Source organism: Homo sapiens, chromosome 12 (genome assembly GCF_000001405.40).
Source record: "Homo sapiens chromosome 12, GRCh38.p14 Primary Assembly".
Classification (NCBI taxonomy): Eukaryota; Metazoa; Chordata; class Mammalia; order Primates; family Hominidae; genus Homo; species Homo sapiens.
The window spans coordinates 90,056,221-90,075,664 of NC_000012.12; the positions used below are offsets into that span (position 1 = coordinate 90,056,221).

Consider the following 19,444-nt stretch of genomic DNA (forward strand, 5'->3'; position numbering starts at 1 on the left):
CATCCCTGATTTGGGGTTTTTTGCAAAGGTATATACCTTCTTGAAACAGAGTACCACTCCCTTTGCACAATGTAGTAAATTTTATGAAAGATGCTTCTTGTGAATTCTATTTCACGAAGATGCAATGATGTTTATGTGGGGGTGTTCATTTTGTTGTGCAAACATCAAATTGTATTTTTGGCCTATTGGTATTTAAACAGCTAGGAACCTAAGTGCTATGTCCTTCTGCCTCTTAAATTATTTTCTGCTGTGAATTACTAGGTACTTTATACACTGGCTTCATACTTTAGAGTTTTACCTGGGCTTTTCCCTCCTTTTTTCTTCCACTGTTTCAATTTTAAATCCTCTAAAACACCCCAGTGAATGCATTCTTCTCTTTAGGAAAATAGATCAAATCTTATTATAACCAGTGCAAAAGAAACAATTCTCATTTTTCTTTTTTTTTTATATTGGGAATGTGTATTTTCAAATGACATTTAGCACAACAGGGCCTATAGATTGGGTTTGCAAAATTCTTTTATAATGATTCTTGTCATGGATACCTATAATATGTTTGACTTAGAACTGTTGTTCAGTTTGACTAAATATACCACACCATGCTCCAAGTTATTCACATCTACAGAACATGTTCCATGTGGGGCTTTTAAGGTCTCTCCTAACCCTAAGGGCTGAAGAAGTGTAGCTGGAGAAGTGGAAAATGGCTCACAGTAGTAAAAGTAGACCTTTTTCATAGCATAACCAGGACCTGATAGGTCTGAGGGCTCAGATAGAGAAGCTGCAGAAACCCAGAAGTGGTGATGGGGGGTGTTCTATTTTTGCCTTCTCTTGCCTCTGTCTCTGACATGTACTCCTGCCTTTGCCCTGCCCTCAAGCTTGCTTCTGTCTGGTTATTTCTCCCACTCTTACCGCATCTCTGCTCCTTTGTTGTGAACCTTGGTCCAACTTTGTCTTATGCCTGAATTTGGCTCATGCCTGACTTTGGCTCTGTCCCACTTCTTCGCCTGCCTCAGGGCCTGCGCTTTCCCTGTGGCCAAGGATCCTGAGGACAAAGGCATTCTGAATGTGATATAAGAGTTTCAGAGCAGCATGCCTGAAGACAGTTTTAAGTGTTTACCAGTTTCCTTTGCTCCTCCTGGGGCGGAGGTAAAGAAGGAGAGGAGAGGAAGAACTGGCATCAAACATTTAGAAGATAATTAAGAGGACCTCAAGCTGCCTTTGTTGAGTGTATCTCCTGAAGTGCAGATAAAATCAGTATCAAGGATCAGACCGACCATGAGGATGAAAGTCCCATGGGAGAGGAACTAGAAATTTCATTGAGTAGGACTCAGCACAAGAGGTGCCTCAGCAGCCTCATCTTGGGTAAGCCACTTACCATCTTTGAGCCTTTGTTTTATTATCTGTAAGATGAGGACAATAATGCCTGTGGTGCCAGGTTGGGTTTCTGGCAAGCAGAAAGTTAATTTGCTGAATTATTAGAGAAGGCTCTTGGTATCAACACCCATGAAAACTAAGGAGGCAAAATCAGAATGGCGTAGGGAAAAGTCAAGGTCGGGTTTGTCCTGCATTGATCTGAAATGCCTGGACCTTCATACCCCTGCCTCCATCAGTCACTGGATGAGTGCCACCTGGGAAGGATGTAGGGGGTCTGATCCTTGAAGGGGCTGTCAGTTGAAGGATGCTTCCTGATGGCTCTCTCAGTAGTAGGAACAAAAAGTCATTCCTTGACGGGATCTGGGTAACATTTTTTGTGTGTTTCTTACCTATTAAACCTGGTTTTGTGAGAGAAACTAACTGTAAAACTTACTATAAATGTTAATTTTATAATTCATATGATGATCAAACTTTTATTAAGGGTCTACTGTGTAATAGCTACTTGATATAAATAAAAACATTAAACCTGACATTTTTCTCTTTCCTTTTTTTTTGATACTGAGTCTTGCTCTGTCACCCAGGCTGGAGTGCAGTGGTGTGATCTTGGCTTACTGCAACCTCCACCTCCCAAGTTCAAGCGATTCTCATGCCTTAGTCTCCTGAATACCTGGGACTACAGGCAAGTGTCACCACACCCAGCTAGTTTTTGTGTTTTTAGTAGAGACAGGATTTCACCACGTTGGCCAGCTGGGCTTGAACTCCTGGCCTCGTGATCCACTTGCCTTGGCCTCCCGAAGAGCTGGGATTACAGGAGTGAGCCAGGGTACCCGGCCTGACTTTTTTTTTAATGTATGTTATTTCTTCTCTTAAAGTTGATAGTCTTTAGACCCATTGCAGTAATCCTCAAACAACCATTGAAGGATCAGGGTCGCACAAAAATACATATTGGTTACTAACTATGTTCAACACTTCAGAAATGTGAATCTTTTCTGCATAAAGTTCTTCCTTGGCATTTCAACACCATAAACAGTAGAATATTTTTGGCAATTGTTAAGCAGGGTAATTGCCAATACATAATTTTTGATCCACTATGACATAATTACAATAACAAAATTTACATATCTTAGTACTTCTTGAAGAACAAAATAAAAAATACTTTTAAGTTAAAACATTCTTGAAGAATACATAGTGGTATAAAAACTGAGCCTCAGGAAAAAAATAAAGGGAAATGCCATTTAATATGTTTTATTATCAACTGGGGAGCCAAAAATAAGTCATACGTAATGGAATTTCATTGTGTAGCAGTGGAATTTCCCCCAGAGTTTTATTAAAAGCTTTAACACAGTTTGAACTCCTCAGTGAAGTCAATGGCCTGGCCAAGGTCTGAGTCAGCATTTTAAGTAAATATGCTAATTTTTTAGCTCAACAAAGAAAATGTTACTTTTAGTGCATTTCCAATTTAAAACAATCTTTTTACTCTACTAGTTATAAACTATTCAGTGTAACCTAACTGAATGTTTTGATTGGTTATATTAAAATTTGCATTTCCTCAACAGTCTGAGAATGGTTTACTTGTTGACTGATCACAGTAAGAAGATTAAATTAGTAGTCCATGAATTAATAAGAAGTGCATTAGATGTTGATACAAAGCTTAATACAAATCATAATAGTGATCATTTTGCATTTGTATCATTTTACGCATTCAAAAGGATAAACCACATTCATTAGTTGATTTTAAAACATTAGATATGTCTATGTATGCAAATGAAAGTGGAGGATAAGAAAATAGATCTAAAAAATTAATTTTTCACTTGTCCTATCATTATCCGCTCTTTAGAAACCCTGCAGGTATAATAGAAAATTCTATAATCTTACTGTTCAGAGTGTGAACCTTGATTGAGAATAGGTGTCACTTGGTTGCCTGTTAGAAATGCTGGTTTTCAGGCCTTACGCCAAACCTGCTACACTGGAATCTGCATTTTACCAAGATACCCAGGTGATTTGTATTCACATTAAAGTTTGAGAAGAATTAAATCTGCAGTGCTTTTGTCTCTGACAAACTGAAGTTAAAATTCCAGTTTTTTTAACATTATCCAAATAATTGCTTCTTCCCTTTAGTTACACAAATAAATATAAGTATAACATATTCTGAGGCATAAAACTCCATACAGAAATGTGAGTCATTGAAGTTAATTTCTGTTTTAAATTCTGAGGAACTAAAGGTATAGGGTAGAATTAGGAAGCTTCTCTTTGAATAAAAATGTTCAAGTTATCCAATTACAAAATATGATTAATAGGCCTAATTTTATTTTTGTATATATTTGACCTTTTCCATCAGAATGATTTCCTAGAAATGTTAAATGGAGGGTTCAGGAAGCAAGCAAAGAAAACAATTTCCATCAAATAACATTATTTGACCACTGCTTACACAGAACAATCATCTTATGAACTATTTTCTCATTTCTTTGCATAAGTGAAATTTCAAAACAATGCTTTCCCCCACTCCCTTCATTTCTTGTGGGTAGCATAAGAGGATTTGCAACCCTGCTTGGTTTATGAGTCTCATATTACTGACTTTGCTCTGCAGATAGATGAAATAGGACCTCAAATGCAGTGGATGTTATGGTTAAAGCTGTTCTTATGTCATTTAGAGATTGTTTTTAGATTAAGGATCATTTGACCTTGAGTGACGGTGGTTGCTTAATTACCTATCATGGTGCCTCCAATAAGAGGTTGTCCAGTGCTGTCAGCCCATTACCTGCCTGTGCCATTCTAAAGCTTCTTGCTTCAGAAGATCTCTCAGCAGGGTTAGAACAAGGTAAAGAGCTTAAATAAGCAAGCTATATTTATCAGCAATAAACAGCAGTCCCTGCAAATGTCCTACCCAGTAAATTAATCTATAAAGGGATGGCTCTACCTGCATGAAAATAGAACTGATTTTCTAAAATTATTTATTAGTATTATTGTGAGCAGATAATACTCTACCATTGATAATAATAGAGACTTGTATAGCAGTTTCATGGCAGTCCCTATAAATATATCAGAAAAGATGAGTGTTTTTTTTTTTTTTTTGAGACAGAGTCTCACTCTGTTGCCCAGGCTGGAGCACAGTAGTGCTATCTTGGCTCACTGCAACCTCTGCCTCCTGGGTTCAAGCAATTCTTGTGTCTCAGCCTCCGAGTAGCTGGGACTACAGGCATGCACCACCATGCCTGGCTAATTTTTGTATTTTTAGTAGAGATGGAGTTTCACCATGTTGGCCAGGCTGGTCTCAAACTCCTGAGCTCAAGTGATCTGCCTGGCTTGGCCTCCCAAAATGCTGGGATTACAGGCGTAAGCCACCGTACTCGCCAACGGTCTCTTTACATTAAAAGAATTTAGTCAGTCTAAAACTTCACATGGTATATTCTGTAGTGAGGAAACCGCATAGAAGGAAGAATGTCTATAGCAGCTTCAATAAGATGGAATTGATTAAGTTATATAAGATTTGAAACAACAATGAGGAAAGTTGTAAGACTGAGAGGAAAGTTGTAAGACTTGTTTAGATGGCTCAAGTTAGGGATAATTTCAGTGCAAAACACTAAAACTATGCCATCAAGGAGACCAATATTGGTGGCAGGTGATAAGGAGGCAGTAGATAGAATAATGGATTTGTGCCTGGAGAATTAAGTTTCTATGAAGCTGCAGCTTATGTTAATAACAGGGCAATGTTTAGATTACACGTTGGCAATTAACCCTAAAATTTGGGTTGTTAAAATGCTGCAGCTTTTACTTTTCTTTGACTGGGGCCTTCCCACATCCAATTGCTACCTTGTTACCTAACATAGTGCCTTACATAAGTGATTATTACATATCTGTTAATGACAATGAATTTTTAAGAATATTTTAGGAAATGATGGCCATAACGTGGCTTTGGATAGGGGCTAAATAATAGAGGCATCATATATCTTACTGAGTTCTGTGGTAAACTTAAATAAAGCAGCACCAGAGCTTTGATTGTATCACTTAAGAGTATGTTCACAGATCACGGGTTCTCTCTCTCTCTCTTTCTCTCTTAAACACAATCGAGAAATGCCTGCAGCTCTGGCAAAAAGACATAAGCCAAATGTAGATCAAAGAAACATCTAAGTATTGTATTTTCTTAGCCACTGGTACGAAATAGGGTATGATAATAGAGAGCAGTTTTATGGCTTACAGAAATAGAAAACTATTTTATATTTATTTTGGTCTCCATTCAAAGGCAATATTTTTAGATATTTCTATACCACCAAAGGACTTCTATCTCAACAACAGTGAATGGTAATGCACTTAAACAACAGGGTTCAAATTATTATAATAAAGTAAACCAGATTCATCTTGGCTATAAAAGTTAAAGACATAAAAATAGACTGGTATTAATGTGTGACTCACCCTCAGGAGGGCATATGCTTTTCCAGTAGCAGTGATAGGTCTGACCAGATCCATTTCTACTCTCTTGCCCAGCAATAGTCCCTGGTGGCATTTGTGTTTACTGGGACTTTGCGACAGGCAGTGTTTGACTGCTTTACGGGAAGTACAAGGGTAGGAAAGAAGTTATAAAACCTATTTCTACAGGTATGGAGTGAACAATGAGATTATTATAATGGAGAAGAATCTTAAATGTAAATGTTATCTTTATTAAAATACAGGGAAGTTGAGTGACCATTACGAAGATAGCAATTCTGTAAAGTAATATATAATTGTGATTGAAGAACTTTGGAAACCAAATAAATGACTTGTCTGATAGCCACATATTATTGGTTGCAAAATATTAGTTAAGTGGGCTGGGCGCAGTGGCTCACACCTGTAATCCCAACACTTTGCAATGCCAAGGCGGACGGATCACTTGAGGTCAGGAGTTCAAGACCAGCTTGGCCAACATGGTGAAACCCTGTCTCTACTAATAAATTAGCCAGGCATGGTGGTGTGCACCTGTAATCCTAGCTCCTTGGGAGGCTGAGGCACGAGAATCGCTTGAACCCAGAAGGCAGAGGTTGCAATGAGCTGAGATCATGCCACTGCACTCCAGCCTGGGCAAAAGAGTGATACTCTGTCTCAAAAAAACAAAAAACAAAAAAAACAAACAAAACAGTAACAACAAAAAACCCAAACAGAAATGTATTATTCACAGTTCTGGAGGCTGGGAAATCCAGGATCAAGGGACTGGCAGTTTCCATGGCTGGTGAAGGCTCACTTCTTGGTTCATAAAGAGCCATGTCCTAACACAGTGGAAAGGGTGAGAGATTTCTCTGAGATCTCTTTCATAAAGTGACTAATTGCATTTATGAGAGTGCCACCCTCATGACATAATCACTTCCCAAAGGTCCTGTCTCCTGATATTCTCATATTCAGGGTTCGAATTTCAACATACAAGTTTAGGGGAGGGGAACACAAACATGCAACTGTATGTCCATTGAAGAATATGAGCCGAGGTGACGTGTTTCCCCTGTTCATCAGTGAACCTTCTCCACCTTCTCTTTCGCCATCTATTGGCTGGAAGTAAAAGATTCCCAGGCCCCAGAAGATGGTGTGGCTATGGGATGGGAGGAGCCTGGGAACCTGAATCACTCCCTGGAAGGCTATCCTTCTAACACCTGCGTTGAAATATTGTATGAACAAGGACATATTTCTATCATGTTAAACCACTAAAACTTTCTGAACTGTTTATTAGAGTAGTCATTATTATATCAAGAGAGTGTATGTTCAAATTTTAAGTAAATTTTAACACGCAAATAAAAGGACCTTTACCTCTTTAAACCAAACCTTTTTGAAAATCCTCAAAATCAAGTATTCTTGATAGAAGTTCAAGTATTGATAGATATCAAGTATTCTTGATAATAAGCACAATTTCGGTGTAATTTATACTTCACTTATTTGGTAGGCACTTATCTTAGTTCTGATTTTCCCATGTGAAGAATCTTTATGCTTCAACTGTGGGAATATTAGAATGAAATGTTCAGATGTCTTTTCACTGTGAACTTTTCTTCCTTTTTTAGAATTGTGAAGTATACAGGCTAACGGCCCTGGAAAAGGCACCTTTGAAATAGACTAAAGATGATGATTGGATTATCAAGATTTGAATAATGTTTTCTAATGTGCTTTTATACTCCTTAGCGGAAAAACCTGAATGAGAAACAAAATTGTTTGTGGCCTGGCTAGTGAGGCAGGGGCCCCTTTGAAATGTGAATTTATCCTTTCAAACATGAGGATCTATTTATCCAGTAATCTATTTTTAGGGTCAATATTTTTTACTTCACACATTATAAAATAATAGATGCTTAGTAAAATCATGAGAACAAATGTTTCTGTCTGATAAATCAGAGGTACCGTTTATATTTACATTTTGCTGAGTCTTTTTCTCTGTATTAAAGTGTGTTTACTTCTCCGGTTTGTTTTAATTCTGTTTATTTTAAATTTTAATAATCTCATGCTAATATTGTAACAATGCAAACAATAAAGAAGTATATGTAATACAAAGAAAAACTCTCTCTTCACTTTGCCCAGCCCCACTACTCTGTATAGAATAAACCCTTTTCCTTACTTAAAGTGTGACCTTCCAGATGTGTCCTTTTGCATTTAGGCATTTATATATATTTGTCCATGCAGATAATTTCAAATGTAATTTATATATGATATATAGATAGGATATATAAATGGATGTATATGTGTAGGTGTATATGTCCATATATATGATATATGCAAATACATGTTATGTTTTTGTACTTAACATTATATTTAGAGGGCTTTTCTGTGTAATGAAACACATTTAATAAAAATATAGTTCTTCACACAGCCATTTTGTAATTCATTAAATTATGACATATTAATAGGACAATTTCTTTAAATATTTTAAAATTTAACATTGCTATGGACATGCATCTTTGATTATCTTTTTCAAACAAATTTCTGAATTAAAATAGGTAGGTCAAATAATATAAACTGTTTCATGACTATTGATGTAAATGTTTTCCTCTATTTTAATAAACGTATCTCCCAAATAAATACCTGTATCTTTAATATTTCTTGATTTTACAAATCTGGAAATCAGAACAGAGAAAAAAATTCCTTTTTATCTTTCAGTCTGGGAATCTATCTACCGGAAAGCAACATGAGCCAGAAATGTCACAGTCATTGGCTCTCAACTTTTTCTGCATATTGGAATCCTCAAGGGATTATTAACTAATAATGCTGGCTCCCACCCTTCAGATATTCTGATTTAATTGGGATGGGTGCAACCCGGACACTGGGATTTTAAAAAGCTCCCCGGGTAATTCTAATTTGCAGCAAAGTTTGGAAACCACCCTCATAGAGCATTCAACCATTGGAAGATACCCAGACACATGTGGCCAAGAGGTCAAATGAAGGTCACTGGACAGATTTCTATGCTTGTTATTTAGAATAAGAACTATTTCTTCTGGTAGTGAAAACATTGCTGATAGATACACTGCTGATAGTATTCAAAACTACTCATCACCTTGACTCTCAAAATAAATCCAACTAGAAAAATAGGATTGACCTAACCTAATACTGTAATACTCTAAAGCACTAGATTGTAAAAGCATCTTCCCCAGCGACTGCTGGAGAGTTTGGAAAAAAGCCTCCCCTTTTTGCAAATTGATTTTTGTCTTGGCTGTAGTGTTTGCTTGTTTAAGCATTAATGACTTGATTTGGAAAGAAATAGCTTCCTGTATGGCCCAGATTAAGAAAAGCCATCTTTATTCTGCCAGAAATTGTGTACAAATGCTAGCATGTAAACAGTGCAACCTGTGACATTTTTTTTTACACTCAAACAGGCAAGGTGACACACATGGCTTAAGGGCTAAAAGAAACATGAGAGCTGTAACGCAGTTACAATCGGAAGTGCTAAATTTCCCTTGGGACCATAAGGAAAGCTTCCTGCTCTTTGTAGATTGGCCTATTATTGGAATACATTTGCCCACAGTTAATCCTCAAAGTAATTAAATGGAAGGAAGTGATTAAATCACCAAGAAAAAAGTGACTGCTGCATCTGAAGCATTCAGACAGATTGTTGGTTAGTCATGAACATTAGTTAAGGAAGCATCTGCCAATTAACCTGGGCTACTAAATATGTGTGTGTGTGTATGTGTAAGCAAATAGTATTGAAATATGAACTAAATCTCTAGTCTGACTAAGAACAGGAATTTTAAAAGTCACAGATACTTTGGTAGAATTATGGTAAACATATATTGTACATAGTCCTTAGCCAATTTAGTAAAGCAGTATTATATTTTCTCCCCAATGACTTATAAATGGAAAAAATTATTTAATTGAACTGAACTGAAAGTAGAACAGACAAATACTAACATGTCTTTGGTAAATGTTAGTTTTATCATGCCACTTCCATTTTTAGTGGATTCAGGAAACCTGGTTGTTAATCTTACTGTTTTCTTATTACTCAATTTTGGGCAAGTTACTTGACCTTTTAGAGTTTCCACAAAATAAAGGGATGGGGCTGCAGGATTTTTAGGTTTCTTCTAGCTCTGAAAAGCTATTGGTCTAAGAAAAAATAGAAAAACACAACCAGAAATCACATGTGAAATTATTAAAATTCAAGATATTATCAAAATAAATATGAGTGGAAAATAAAAGATACATAATGGAATATGTTACATACATATCTGTAACAATCACAAAATGAGATTCCTTGTTCTTCAAGAACTTTGTGTTATGAACAGGAATCCAAAGCAGTATCAATGAGAGTCATCTAAAGATATCCATTTTTCTATGCCTCTCTGCATTTCTCAATGATTTTGTGCATTGAAAATGCATTACATTTTCATGATTACATGCATTTAGATGAAGTAGTTCTAAACAGTTACCAAAAATTGTCCTTTTAAAGTAACGGTCTGTACTTATAAAATAACTTTAAGACAGATGCACAAAATTAGATAATGAGTCTTGTCTTGGTGGCAACAAGAAAATAAAGTGTCTGCTCTTTGGAGATGGAGTGCATTAGCTTTTTTAGGCCATCTGTGCATTGTTAGGAACTTCTCTCTTTTAATACTCTGAAAAAAATTAGAATGGTTCTCTCATTGCAAAATGATCTGATTGTCCTATCCTGGCTCGGTTATTTTGGCCTAATTAATCATCAGGGTAGATTGTTGCATACTTGATTTGGTCATGGTGATTGAGGATATGTGGGTGGGCAGAATTATTCAATTGACTAGAATACTGTTAACTTTTTATGCATCTATTTAATTTTAACAAACATTAACTGAGCTCCCGCTATCAATATTATATACCATGGACACAAAATTATGTAACCTCAAATGCTTCTTTTTTAGTAACTCATGGTAAAGAGTTAAGTTGAGGGACAAAAATAATTTTATAAACTATAACAATAATGTTATTCTATATTCTACTAGGATTAAAATCAAATTGTTTTGGGACAGCAGAGGATGAAGAAACTCATTTTGACTGAAGTTATTGGATGAGACATGGCTGTGGACAACTTCAGAGAAGATATATTTAAGCAGAACCTTAAACTTATGTCAGAATTTTTAATCACCAGAGATCAGCAAAGCCAAAGGTGTGATGTGAAAGGACATGGGATGTCTGGGAAGCAGGGAACAGCTCAGAGGTCTGGATCATAGACAGGATTGATGGACATGATAAATAATGGAGTAGAGTGACACAGAAAAGGGTGTTGGAGCCAGACCTTGAAGGACCTTGACTTTGTTGCTAGAGGAAATTGTTGAAAAGGGTCAAAGTGAGAGTGTATGTTGGCCACTATTAGCTGCCCTAAGTGGTACATGAAAGAAATGAGATTAGGCAAGAATAGGCTGATATTAAAGCAAAGTTAGAAGGAAATGGGAAGAAACCAGAGGTCTTATGAGGGTTAGCAAAGTTGAGTGCTTTCATATCTCAAATAGTGAGAGAGAAAACTGAGAAAGAGTTTGGGCATCAGAGGTCCAATAAGGCTTTTCATTCAAAGAAAAGCCTCAGCCTTATGCTAACATTCCACTTAGAGAAATTTTTGTTTCAGATAAGCTAAAGATACCTGCCATTAATGTATGAAAGAGAATAACAAGAAAGTGAGATAACAAAGAAATACACAGATGCGAAGAAATATGTAGGCTGTAGACTTATATGGAGGAAAGAATTGTTAGGCTACTACTATTTGGAAGGGACTGAAAGCAAATAGATCAGAAGCTTACTAAGTTTTTATGTGAATTGTGCTGCTAAAAATTCTTGAGATTAAAGTAAAAAATAAAAGACTTTGATTTTTTCAAACCTGAATACAAACTATGGGTTCAATGTTTGCCCTAGCAGGAAGTTCCTACAAAGGCTAACATTGTCAAAGAAGGCATATTCCCAAAAGCCTATCTTATATGTAGCCGTGGAGGATAATGGACAAGGAAGAATATTCCAGAGACAGTGGATCTAGGGCCAGTGTAAAACAATGGACAAGAGAGTTCTTCTCAGAGAATAAAATCAGTCTAATCTAGGATGTTTCCTTACTCCAGGGCAAAGGGCTTTCCTGCCCACCCAGCAGAATTTCAGAATTGCTAGGAACTGGTGACTGCTGTATGTTTTTCACTCTTTCCTTTTTCAAATATAATTTTTTTTTTTTTTTGAGAGGGAGTCTTCCTCTGTTGTCCAGGCTGGAGTGCAGTGGCAGGATCTCTGCTCACTGCAACCTCCGCCTCCCGGGTTCACACCATTCTCCCTGCCTCAGCTTCCCGAGTAGCTGGGACTACAGGCACCCGCCACCATGCCCAGCTAATTTTTTGTATTTTTAGTAGAGACAGGGATTCACCATGTTAGCCAGGTTGGTCTCGATCTCCTGATCTTGTGATCCGCCCGCCTCGGCCTCCCAAAGTGCTAGGATTACAGGCGTGAGCCGCCGCGTCTGGCCCCAAATGTGAATTTTTATTGCAACTATCCTTTCCCTGTTCCATCATTCGGAGATTTTTTTTTAGAATATAAATTGCTGGTCCATAAAAACCTCTCTCAGACCTAAGGGAAGATACTGCATCTGGGCCAGGGATCTTGAACTTTGAGCTGATTAAAATGATTGGATGAATTGCTAGGTTGTCTTCTCTGGGGAGGCAGTTAATGTTTGAAATAAAGAGTGAAATACTCACTTGATGACAAAGGGTAGATAATTGCAGAGACTGCTATATGTTCACTAAAACGAGTCCTCTTTTCTTCCTAGGCATATAGACTATTTCTCAGATGCACTTGTCAAGATGAGAGAATGTGGGCAGAGGTATGGCATTTCACTCCTGATCCTTAACAAATTTTCATGTAATCTTCTACTTCCTCTCTCATATATTGCCTGCCTCCCATTAAGTATCTCCCATTTTCTGGTTGAATGGAAGGGACTCTGAGGACTTAGAGAAGATAGAGACACCAAATGGTAAACCCTGGGTTCCTAAACGATGGAATGCAGCAATCTTGAGAAGCCAGTCAGCAGCTGATTAGACTTAAAAGGGAAAGAAAGAAACTGCTATTATGTAAAACCACTATGATTTCGGTGTTTTTCTGTCATAGCAGAAGTCACATTGACTAGACATACATCCAAAAGTTCACGTTTGGTGGACTAGGCGAGGAGTTCACAGGCCAGAGTGAAGTACTGCATAATAAATCACTAATAGTGAATTCCGTGGCCTAGCCTATGGTCTCACCTCGGCTCCCTCAGGTGGCTGTATTTAGGTGGTGGGTTGACTGGTGGCTGGGCTTAGCTATGATGGCTGAGTTGACTGTTTGTCTCCATCTATGTTGTCTTTCATTCTCAAGGAGCCTATATTGGGGCTTTCAGAGCCTGGTGATATCAGAGTTCCAAGAGGGTGAGAGGAAGTTGCAGGGACTCTTGAGACCTTTCTTGAAAATAGTGCAACATTATTTCTGATGCACTGTATTGGCCAAAGGAAATCAGGTAGCTTGGCCACATTTGGGAAGTAGGGAAACAGACTCTGCCTTTTTGATGAAGAATTTTTGACTATTTTTTATCATCTACAAACCCTTACAAAAGTACTCAGAATATAGTAAGTGCTCAATAAATGGTTGTTGAATTGTATGCATGAATGGAGAAAGTGGGTTGGAGTCCTGAAAAAGAAGATAACATATTGGCAATGCTGCTATTGAAAATGGAAAAAGGAACCAATCATGGATAAGTGAAAGAATTGCTGAGCAATACGGATAGTCCAGCTGAGCTTGAAAATTGTAAATTTGTTTTTCCGCCAATTTTCTCCAATTGCATTTGGTAGTTTGGGAGCAAGCCCACAGAAACAGATGGTTGGGTTGATCCAGGTTAGGGATTAGTACTCTGCAAACTAGCAGTAGTGGGAGGTTGAGTCTGCCCAAGTTGGTTCTGTGCCTTCTCAGCTCTCTGCTCACTCAGGAGCTGGCCACTCCATGGAATACTCTGCATCCTAAATGTCCTCACTCATTCTGGTCCACTGTCTGATACCAAAACTCCATGTTGGATTACAAAGTAAGTTAATTGAGGTTGTGACCTACATGGTTCAGGTCTAAAGTGAAGTACAGATAAACACATACACACACACACACACACACACACACACACTGAGGAATTCCATTTGCATTCCTCGGAAGACATATGGGGATCTGATTTTTGCATTTATTTTCTTTCCTTTTCAATTCTCCAGGCTACTGCTGGAGCCTTCTACTTCCCACCCCACCATTCTCTGCTGTCAATCTAGCCCTCAAGGAGAGCAGCCCTATTCATACTCCTCCTACCAATTTTCCCCAGTTCTTTCTCCTGGCTCTTTAGACCCTTCCTTTCATTCTGCATCACAAAAGTCTTAAGACTGTCTGGCAGAGTCAGGCTTGTCTCCAAAGGTGGATATGAGGGTGAAAGGGCGAATGTGAGAGTAAGTTGAAAAATTGACAGTTACCAGGTCTTTTTGGCAACTGAGGGAGTGCTAAAAACCATGACTACTTCTACCTTATTTTTCTAGATTTTTACCACTCAGACTAATTTTATCTTTTTTCACTGTACTTGATATTTTGAACCCATATTTACTTTCTTGGTATTCCTTGCCCAAGATGAATGACCTATTTCCCTTTGTTCCATGGCTCATAGACAATTTCTGTTTTGCCTAGGATTCTTAGCCTCAGGGAAAGCCCTGTATCTACACAATCATATCTCCCTTTCCTAATCAGCATTCCTATGCAGGGGAAGACAGACAGGAGGAGGCAAGTAAATCAAAGAATCAAGACTTAGTGCTGGGATGTAAGACACCGAAGCAGAGGAGGTTGAGGAATTGGGCACTTAGATGATTTTTCAGTGTTGGTAGTGGAGTTGCCTAAGATAATGGGGGAGACTACAGAAGAGAATAGCTATGATATGGTTTGGCTGTGTGCCTACCCAAATCTCATCTTAAATTATAGCTACCATAATCTCCACACATCATGGGAGAGACCCAGTGGGAGATAACTGAATCACAAAGGTGGGTTTTTCCTATGCTGTTCTTGTGATAGTGAACAAGTCTCATGAGATCTGATGGTTTTATAAAGGGCAGTTCCCCTGCACACATTCTCTTGCCTGCCACCATGGGAGATGTGCCTTTGTTCCTCTTTCACCTTTTTGCCATGATTGTGAGGCTTCCCTAGCCACATGGAACTGCGAGTCCATTATGCCTCTTTTTTCTTATAAATTACCCAGTCTTGGGTATGTCTTTATTGGCAGTGTGAAAATGGACTAATACAACTATAAACCAATTAACAATGTCCTGAGAGAATATATGGGGCTGCACTGAATGTTGGTAGATGCTGGATACAGTGGATAAGAGCAATGCCAGTGGATGGAGAGTTTCAAGGAAATGACAAGACAGTGGATGAGAGGCATGGAAACAGCTGTGGGAAAGCAGGAGGAGCATGTTCTGACTCCTTGATGTGACAGGCTAAGTGGATACTAGGGAGCAGCACTTTCCATGGAAGAATTGGAGGGAAGTTACAGCATCTGCAAAAAGTTAAGTGGAGTCAGTAATCTCAGTTTGTACTTTCAGGCTGTAGATTTCAGGATAACAGGAAAAAGATATTGTCAGTTCTAAGAAAGTTACCTTGTTAGCTGTTTTGAGACTCCAAAGTGAATCTTTTAGTATAATTCCTCAATTCATTCTTGTATCAAATAGTTATTGGCCAGGAACAAAACTGAGTGCTTAAATATAAGGATGAATGAAATAAGATTTCTGCCATTAAGCAGCTCACAGTGTTTTTAAGGCAAAAGGAAAAGAAACAGGTAACTTAAAACAAATTGTAAGTCATGTGATAGCAGTGAGCACGGTTCTATGGAACACCGAGTAGAGGCATCCTACCAGAATAGGGGGTAGGAGGTGGACTGAGAAAAAGAAGCCTGAGCTGTGTCTTTAAATATGAGTTAATGAGGTAAAAGTGTGTGTGTGTGTGTGTGTGTGTGGGAGAGGGAGGGGATTGAGGCCCAGGAGCAAAAGTGATTGCATTAGTCAAATTAACTATATTTCCATTTTACTTCATTCTGGGTAGTCACGTTCTAAATAGTTGAATCGGGTTTAATCGAATCTCCAACGTCAGGAGACTTTGCATTGTTTCCTTTCATAAGAGAAGTGGAGCCAAGCCGAAGCTCACACTTTGGCAACTGATCCTGTGTAAACTGTATTGCTCCCTGAACTAACCCTTTCTTGAGGCTAGGAAGACACTTACGCTGTGTGACTCGATTTGATCACAGGACAGCTTGAAGGAAACCAGTATCAACAAACCTCTCTTTGGGCTGTCGGAAATAGTGTTTCCATTTTATTTATTTGAAAGAATCTTGTGTCTTAAATCTTGGGACAGGCCATTTGAGAGTTGTCTGATTATTGTGCAAATAGTTTTAAGAAGTCTCACAAGAAATGATTGCTTTACCTTTCTATTTTAGTGCTAACCAGACATGGATGGCAAATAATAGCACCACTGTATAGTAGACATTTTGGTGGGAAGATGCTGTTCACAAGAAGAATCTTGGCTAGTTTCACGATATTTTGGTCAACTTGGATTGTTAAGAAGATAACTTATGTGACTAGCACATTCCTGAAACTGCAAGACTATTCTCCCCACATTCAAACCTCCAGAATGAATTGTGTTGCTTGCAGTGGGTAGCACTGCTTGTGCTCAGTTATTTGTGGCCCCCAAAAATAGAGAACAGGAGATAGCAAATGCTTTATCTGATGTTCACTATAATTTGAGCAATTGCAAAGTAGTTCTAGTTCTTGGCTACAGCACTTGATGGGGCACTAGAGTTGAATTCGTGACATCATAACTACATAGAGAGAATGAAAGAGGGAAAATGGATAAGAATTTTATAAGGAACCAGTTTCTCAGTTGTCAGTATTTTCCTTTTTAAAGATAAAAAAATGAACATTCGACTTTGAAAAGTATTTTATCTTTCATGGGCTTGGTTAGGTGAGTAGAGAGAATTCCAGTTGAAATGGACAGACAGAGAGCCAAGGAATTTTAGTAAAAATACTGGATCCTTTCATGTGAAACAGATCTGAGTCAAGGTAGTTCTGTCCACTATAATCTGTTACAGTAATCATTTCCTTTGGGACTTAAAAAAAGGACTATTGACATTTGCTCCCTCTAGGTACCTATAAAAGAGTTCCAGCTACATAGAAGGGCTATGATACTTTCAGATAAGCAAGGAAGAAGTTGTAAATGTGGGCAATATAATATGATAGGTTTCACTAAAATTTATATTATTTATTCCATCAGCTGGTTGCTTTTTAGTGAGCACCTATTATGTGCTTTCTTGTTAAGAGCAGAGGATATAGTAATGAAGGATAAAGTATCTACTTTCTTGAAAATCTGAGTCTATCAGAGAGAGAGATAGTACTCCAATAGTGGATTAATTGTGATTATGAACATCTACTATAATGGGTAAGCACAGGATCTAGGAGCCTGTGCAGTAGGGTAATGGAAAAGTAGGGGATGGGATGAACTGAGAAGTAAGCACCTAAGTAAAGATATCTGTACATGCAAAGGGCCTGGGGTAGAAAGGGATTTAGTTCTTTGATAGAATCAAATGAAGGCTTGTGTGGCTGGAGAAAGGGAGAGAAGAAGCATGGGAGAGATTGGCAAAATGTCAGCTTGGAGAGATATGGAGGGACTAAATCTTACTGGGCATCACGAACTTGGCAGAAAGAAAGTGGGAGTAGTTGAAAGGCTTTAAGCAGTGGAGCAACATGATAAACAGTACAGCTTAATGGGATTTTAATAAAGCATTATATTGTTGATTATAGAAGTAATCTTCCTTCAGGGTTTTTTTTAATTGAAGACACAGTTTTTCAATTTTTTTATTCTAATTTCTTTTGCAGATAGTAGAGAAGATAATTTGTATGTAATTGAAGGACCGCATTCTTCTTAGCTTGAAGTCATTGTGATGGATAAGAATTTATAAATAGCAAATCTGCTGGATTTAGTTATCTGTCATATTGGAATTTAGAAGTGGCAGATCTCTTATCAGTGACCAAATACCAAATAACAGAAATGTAACCTGATAATTTTTTAATTAAAAATACCCTAATATATAATCGTGATGTAACTGAGGTGAATATCAAAATGTGTTTGCCACTATGTACAAAAATAAAAAACATAAATCACAGATTTTTCACTTCTAAAAGAGAAGTGAAATTTCTAAAGGCTAATAATGTTAACTGAACACCTGGTTCAGACAACTAGCAATGGGGACTCAATGCAAATGAATAGGGAGGTCTCATAGAAAATGGCTTCATACTAGATTAAACACAGGCAGTCCAAACTCTAATATATATAAAGGATTTGTTGTCGCAATGGTAGTAACACCAAAGTCCAGATTTTCCAGGACAGTCTTTTTATAAAATAACTCTCTTACATTTTAGATACATTGATGCTTTCTAGACAACCACGTCTCCCTCTTGTTTTAAGAAATATGTCTAGTGGCATCAGGATTCTAATTTCTTCTTTGCTATCACTATCTAGAATCTCCTCCTCCTCCTCCTTCTCCTCCTCTTCCTCCTCCTCCTCCTTCTCCTCCTCCTCCTTCTCTTCCTCCTCCTCCTTCTCTTCCTCTTCCTCCTCCTTCTCCTCCTTCTCTTCCTCCTCCTCCTTCTCTTCCTCCTCCTCCTTCTCTTCCTCCTCCTCCTTCTCTTCCTCCTCCTCCTTCTCTTCCTCCTCCTCCTTCTCTTCCTCCTCCTCCTTCTCTTCCTCCTCCTCCTTCTCTTCCTCCTCCTCTTCCTTCTCCTCCTCCTTCTCTTCCTTCTCCTTCTTCTCCTCCTCCTTCTCTTCCTCTTCCTCCTTCTCTTCCTCCTCCTCCTTCTCTTCCTCCTCCTCCTTCTCTTCCTCCTCCTCCTTCTCTTCCTCCTCCTCCTTCTCTTCCTCCTCCTCCTTCTCTTCCTCCTACTCCTCCTTCATCCTCTTCCTCCTCCTTCTCTTCCTCCTCCTCCTCTTCCTCCTTCTCTCCTTCCTTCTATCTCATCTTGATAATCTGAACTCCAATCCCCAGGATGCCAATCCATTAATTAAATGTCCAATACAACTTGCCTTTGTTTTATCACTGAAGATGACTCTTTCCTTTAGTCTTTTAGCCTTTCCAAATCTGGCCATACAAATTCATGAATGGCTATGATTGTGTCAGAGGGATCAAAAACACCAAAAAGATGAAGACCAGCTCATAGGTTGAAGGAATTTTATTCTTGGTTTTCTTAATATTACTACTAGTTAAATATCTTAGAAAATGTCAATCATGCCATGAATTTAATTTGGGGTTGCAAAAGAAAGTGGAAAACTATTCACTTGGGTTTCCTTTTGTGATGTTCCAGGGAGTGGATGCTACTCATGAAGAGTAATAAGCGGGACAAGTCCTAAAGCACTGAGAAGGAAGTGATGATGGTAGTGATCAAGTAGTCACCATTTTGGAAAGTGGATTATGTACCATCCCTATGCTTAGTGCTTTACAGACATTATCTCATCTGATCTTCTCAACAAACAATCAATGCTGTTTTTATAGTTATTTTGATATTACAGATGAAAAAATTGAGGTTTAGAGAGGTTAAAGAAATTTTTAAAAAGTTTT

At 38.1% G+C, this 19,444-nt stretch overlaps 1 long non-coding RNA gene across 1 annotated transcript in view; it reads left to right on the forward strand.

Annotated features, from left to right (window-relative positions):
* LOC105369890 (uncharacterized) overlaps positions 1 to 19,444 on the forward strand; it is a 192,148-nt gene that overhangs the window by 136,079 nt on the left and 36,625 nt on the right. The window contains exons 9-10 of the long non-coding RNA XR_001749246.2: positions 10,776 to 10,939; positions 12,569 to 12,622. This is a non-coding gene — a long non-coding RNA (uncharacterized LOC105369890). The remainder of the gene's footprint in view (positions 1 to 10,775; positions 10,940 to 12,568; positions 12,623 to 19,444) is intronic.